This window comes from Homo sapiens, chromosome 17 (genome assembly GCF_000001405.40).
Source record: "Homo sapiens chromosome 17, GRCh38.p14 Primary Assembly".
In the NCBI taxonomy this organism is placed as follows: Eukaryota; Metazoa; Chordata; class Mammalia; order Primates; family Hominidae; genus Homo; species Homo sapiens.
Window position 1 is genome coordinate 66,229,416 of NC_000017.11, and position 6,432 is coordinate 66,235,847.

The 6,432-nt window shown below is 40.9% G+C and overlaps 1 annotated feature.

Annotated features, from left to right (window-relative positions):
• Positions 3,636–3,930: a silencer, noted in NCBI's record as "tiled region #2592; HepG2 Repressive DNase matched - State 5:Enh". NCBI's record gives its function as "represses a minimal TATA promoter and a strong SV40 promoter by Sharpr-MPRA in HepG2 cells {active_cell/tissue: HepG2}" and the evidence as "EXISTENCE:reporter gene assay evidence [ECO:0000049][PMID:27701403]".

Below are 6,432 nucleotides of genomic sequence, written 5' to 3' on the forward strand. Positions count from 1 at the left end.
TCGTCTGCTAAAAAGACAGAGCCAAATATGAAAGCGCTTAAACATTAACCATTTTCTGGTGTACTTTTATCTTTGTAAATAGAAGATAAAGTATCATGATTTGAATGGAACTCTGAGACCCACATTCTTTAATCATTTACTTTCCACTTATGTGGCTCTGTTATGAAATCTTTGGGAGATGGTTTCTGTCTTCATAACGTTTTTGTTAATGGCACAAAACAGTTCATTATTGCTTTTGACAGAAACTTGTTGTTTCCGGGGTTGCCTGGACTTCTCATTCTCCATCTTTTGTTTTGTGTATGTTGTAGATGGAACACCAAAAGATCGAAGCTCCTGTTTCACTCACAGCCTTGGCATATAAACTTTGGACAAACACCTACTCTCTGTTCTCAGTCTCCACCTCTCTAAAATGATGTTCCAGTTTTCAGATGTATAATTACAAAGAATGTCTTCCAGGAGGCACTTACAACTTTAATTCCCTACAAACTGAGCTCAACATCCTCTCTTGCAAGCTCCTATAGCTCCAGTTAGGACCTTAGAGCTATCCTTGAATTCTCTATCTTCTCTTACGTCAGATCAATACAAAGTCCTCCTCATCCATTCTTAATATGTCTTGGATCTGTCTAGACAGGTTTCTAGATCTGTTTCAGGAATTTGAAAATTGATTTGAAATTAACAACTTGGGACTCGAAGAAGAAAAAAAAACTTGAGTAGGATAAGATAATGGGCCAGTGCTGATGTTGTTGCTTGAGAGGGTTCGGAAGGGGGGTTGTCTTTGATTCCCTAGTTCTCTTCTACATCATTTGCTCTAAAAAAAAAAAAAAGGATATATAAATGGACAATAGCCAGGCCATATGTGAAAACAGAACTCTGACCCACACATCTGTAGCAACAGGTCTAGAAAGCCAAACCTACAACCTCTATAGCAGTTGGCCCAACTTAAGGCCAACCAGAGAAATCCAAACATATTTCTCTAACCAATCACATGGACACCTCACTTCTAGTTAGTTTCCTTCCATCCTCCCCATACCAACAATCCGTTGGAGCACACCTGAAGCCTTTCCTTTTTTCTATTATAAAGCTTTCCCACTCCTCTGTCTGACTTTGACTTTGAGTCTCTGCCAAACACAACTGTTAATGGCTGCCTCCCTTCCTATAGCAAGCTCTGAATAAATAACCTCCGCTTGCTCTCATTTGGGTGATCTTGGTTTATATCCAGAGGTCTAAAATTCCCTGAGACACATCAGCTTGAGAAATCTCCATCTGTCAGGCAGATGATTCTTAAATTACGATCCTAATGAACATTGTGTTCCATGATAAGAAGAGTGTGCTGCCACTAATGTGAAATAACAGTGGTCCTTCCCTATTTGTCCTTCTAAGGGGAAGGAGATTCTTGTTCTCTGGATAATTCCCAGGTTCCGCTTTATTGTGGAGAATCTCCTTGATGAATGAAGAAGAAAGAAAACTAATGAAGTCAGGAGGAGCCAAGTCGTTCTGTATAGTAAGATCTGAAGTAGAAGGGGAAAAGGAGAGAGAAACCAAAGAGGTCGGGCATCAGTTAAAGAAAATTTGAGAAAAGGTTAAAATTGAGACGAGAATATTTTCAGCAACAGCTACAAACTGAGTGCCTGATATTGAGAGAGGACAAGGAGAAGGGTTTTTAATGATGTTTCCTGGTGGCTGGGCTCCCTTGCATTAGGAAACTTGGGGTAGGGGTGTCGAAATAGTTTATATTCTATTTTAGGTGGTTGTTACTTGGCTACATGCAATTTTCAAAAGCCATCAAGCCAAATATTTAAGATCTGTGTGTTTACTTGATTATACTTCAATTGGAAAACTATGCACTCCTTTCCTCCTTCTTCCCTCCCTCCCTTCTTCCTTCCCTCCCTCCCTTCTCCTTCCTTCCCTCCCTTCTCCCCTCCCTTTTTCCCTCCCTTCCTCCCTCCCTCCTTTCTTCCCTTCCTTCCTTCCTTCCTCCCTCCCTTCCTCTCTTTCTCCTTTCCTCCCTTCCTCTCTTCCTCCCTTCCTCCTTCTTTTCATCCTAACTCAGTCTAAAAGTCACAAGGAAGGCCTCAAGGGGAAAGTCATGCTTATCTGTGTAAGGATGGCAGCGTGATGGTGTCACAAGCTTAGCTACATATAGGAGATTGAGCAAACAAGCAAATATATTGAGGATAATGGGGGTCAGGTTTCTCACTAACAAGAGAAGTAACAATGCGGAAAGAAGGAAAGTTAGCATGAACCTTGAGGTGTTGGATTGAAAATGGAGACAGTACAAATTGTGCGTATATATAAACAGATACAGAAATCAATATAGATATAATGGTATGTACATGTGTGTGAATGTATGCCTGAATATACATATAATTCTTAGTTCTGTCCACTAGGATAATAGCAGTAGTACATCCAGTAGCAATGAGCACACACAGTGCCTAAATATTGGTTGTTAAATGCAATTCTTGGCCAGGCCGTGGTGGCTAATGCCTGTAATCCCAGCACTTCAGGAAGAAAGAAAGATCGCTTGAGGTCAGGAGTTCAAGACCAGCCTAGCCAACAGGGTGAAACCCTGTCTTTACAAAAACTACAAAACCTAGCCAGGCATGATGGCAGGTGCCTGTAATCCCAGCTACTTGGGAGGCTGAGGCAAGATAATCATTTGAACCCAGAAGGCAGGGGTTGCAGTGAGCCAATGAGATTGCAACACTGCACTCCAGCCTAGGCAACAGAGCGAGACACTATCTAAATAAATAAATAAATGCAATCCACCATCGAAAGGCACCAAAGCTCCTTAGAAAATTGGCTGATTCTTGAACTGGGTCAAGGAAAAGTACAAGATGAGCCTGGAACACCATCTTGAACAACTTAGGTAATGCTCAGAGAATGATAGGGACATGTCCAAAGGACAGAGAAGCCATTTGAAAGTGGCTTTCTTGACTGGGTGCGGTGGCTCACGCCTGTAATCCCAGCAGTTCAGGAGGCCGAGGTGGGTGGATCACTTGAGGTCAGGAGTTTGAGACCAGCCTGGCCAACATGGTGAAATCCCGTCTCTACTAAAAATACAAAAATTAGCAGGGCATGGTGGCGTGTACCTGTTATGCCAGCTAGGAGGCTGAGGCAGGGGAATCACCTGAACCCGGGAGGCAGAGGTTGCAGTGAGCCAAGATCGTGACACTGCACTCCAGCCTGGGCGACAGAGTGAGATTCCATCTCAAAAAAAAAAAAAAAAAAAAAAAAAAAAAAAAAGCGGGGGGCGGGGGGTGCTTTCTCTGGTCAAATATGTGACAGTTTGTCCAAATAAGTAATAATAGTAATGGATTATACTCCACTGAATAAAATAGGAATCAGTGAGTCCACAGTGATAGTAATAAACACATTAACAATTATGTGAAGAGATAAGAAAGTTATTCCTTAGAGTATAATGCCAAGCAATTAATATAGAGGAATACTGGACTTAGAGAATTGTAATTTGGAAATAATTATGAAACGATTTAATTCTGGCAAAGAAGTATCAATTGATGCTAGAATCAGGGGATACAAGTAGGATGAGAAATGTTCATACAGCCTTAAACATGTCTCCACATAAAATAACTATTTATTATAAAGGAGACAAAGAGAAACTTAGAGGGGAAGAACCTGGCAGACACCATCTTAATTAAGTAATCAAAATTAATGTCACCACTAATGGGATAAATTGGCATGTATGTCCTCCACCAAGAGGATGCAATGAGAAGGACACAGCGTCACTTCTGTGATATTCCTGCCAAAAGCTTAGTAACCTGGATTGTGTCATGAGAAGGCACTGTACACACACAAATTGAAGGACGTTATGCAAAATGACTGCCCTGTCATCTTCAAAAGGGCAAAAGCCATGAAAGGCAAAGAAAGACTTAGGGAACCCAGGTGGACATGAGAACTGGGTGCACAGTGTGGGCCCGAAGGGGCATTTGGTGACACTTGAATGGAAGGGTCTAGGGTCTCTGGGTAAAGAGAACAAGGAAGTTTTTGTTCTATTCTTACAACTTTTCTGTATGTTTGTAATTTGAAATCATTTAAAAAATAACGAAAAAGAAAAAGAAGAAAGAAAGAGAGAGAAAGAAAGAAGGAAAGAAGGAGAGAGAGAGCACAAGAAAGAAAAAGAAAGAAGGAAGGAAGGGGAAGGAAGGAAGGAAGGAAGAAAAGAAGGAAGGAAGGAAGGACGCTTTTTGTGGTTTCCTTGAAAGTCCTTCTATTGAGATGTGATTTTTAAACTGGATCATACGAGGCCTCAAATTTTATTTGCATCGCCCCCTAAAGAGGAATACAAGCTTGGCCCCCACCCCACCGCCATCATTGACACTCAGCTCCTATTTGCCAGCTACTGAGCTTTGAAAAATTATGCAAAATAACAGTGACAGGAAAATGGAGAAACCACTAAATCAAACTTAGTTTGACGGCTTTTGTGGGCTGTTACATGCATTTGTAATTACAACTTTCATGTTTACTCTTCGGCTGGTAAAAATTTCCCTTGTTTGAACAATTAAATACAAAGATAATAAATGGTAATCTGCATAATTAATAAATTATGAGTATAATTATGATTAATTTATTCATAATCATAATTTTGGGATTATGATGATTATCAGCTGGCCACCATGCTCAGCTAATTTTTGTATTTTTAGTAGAGCCAGAGTTTCGCCATGTTGGCCAGGCTGGTCTCGAACTCTTGGACTGAAGTGATCCGCCTGCCTCAGCTTCCCAAAGTGCTGAGATTACAGGTGTGAGCCATTACCTCCGGCTGAACTTGAACATGTCTGAGAACTACAGGGTATTCCTGGCCGGGCGCGGTGGCTCACGCCTGTAATCCCAGCACTTTGGGAGGCCGAGGCGGGCGGATCACGAGGTCAGGAGATCGAGACCACGGTGAAACCCCGTCTCTACTAAAAATACAAAAAAAAAGTTAGCCGGGCGTAGTGGCGGGCGCCTGTAGTCCCAGCCACTCAGGAGGCTGAGGCAGGAGAACGGCGTGAACCCGGGAGGCGGAGCTTGCAGTGAGCCAAGATTGCGCCACTACACTCTAGCCTGGGTGACAGAGCGAGACTCCATCTCCAAAAAAAAAAAAAAAAAAAAAGAGAGAGAACTACAAGGTATTCCTAAAACTCTTCCAGAAACACACATGGCCCTAATGAAGAAGTCTTTGGAGAGATAAGATGCAATTGCACCTTTCAATTATTTTCACCTTCCAGTTTGTGACACATTGGGCCACATAACTTTAGCACCATCTGGTTGATCAGTTAACTGATCTATCTTCCCTCCACGCACTTCGATTCACATTCCCAAAACTAACCTATGATAATAACTGAGGAGCTGGCTGCTTACCAATGTTAAATGACAGTTTTAAAGACACATTTAAACTTACCATTGAAGTTTTATTTGGCAGAGCAAGTGGAAAAACTGTTAAAAAATATGGAATTTTGGCAAATCAAGTGGCTGTCTTGTATTTTCAGGGTTTATACTCATCAGTAAAGATTGGCAACTCTTGGGTTTAATGTTACACTTAACATGCTATTAATATATTTTAACAGGCCGGGTATGGTGGCTCACACCTGTAATCCCAGCACTTTGGGAGGATGAGGCAGGTGGATCACTTGAGGCCAGGAGTTCGAGACCAGCCTGGCCAACATGGTGAAACCCCATCTCTACTAAAAATACAAAAAAGTAGCCGGGTGTAGTGGCGGGCGCCTGTAATCCCAGCTACTTGGGAAGCTAAGACAGGAGAATCATTTGAACCCAGGAGGCAGAGGTTGCAGTGAGCTGAGATCACTCATTGCACTCCAGCCTGGGCAACAAGAGTGAAACTCCATCTGAAAATATATATATAATATATATGTATATATAATATATATAATATATAAAATATACGTATATATATATACAAGCATGATCAAGAATACCTGAGAATTTAAGAATATATAAAATAACAACATTTTTATCACAAGTAACATGGGACCTCGTCTTTTGAAACTGTTAATGACTTTATAGCGTTTCTTACGCTAATTTGTAAATTAAACTATAGAGACCTGGATTCAGAGTCCAAGGTTTTTGTATTCCTGAAACCACATTGCATCACATGTTCAAAAACTTTCTTATTTACTTCCCAAGCAGAGACTTTGACCATGATATTAAACATTTAGCAACAGTTTAGATTATTTGTTTAAAAACCTACTTTCAATGTTGTCTCCTTCTGAGTTGGAATTCTAGTCAATATCTACCAACCACATTTCAGAGAAAAGATTCAAATGCCTTCTCTTTATGATAAAATATGTCAGGAACTAGATATGCATTTATAAGGGGTATAAACATGTCACAGGGCTTAATGGGCATGATTAAATATGTCTAGAAATCAATAATGGGCCTAAGTCAGCACTGGGACATTTTTGTGTGGACACTGGGATC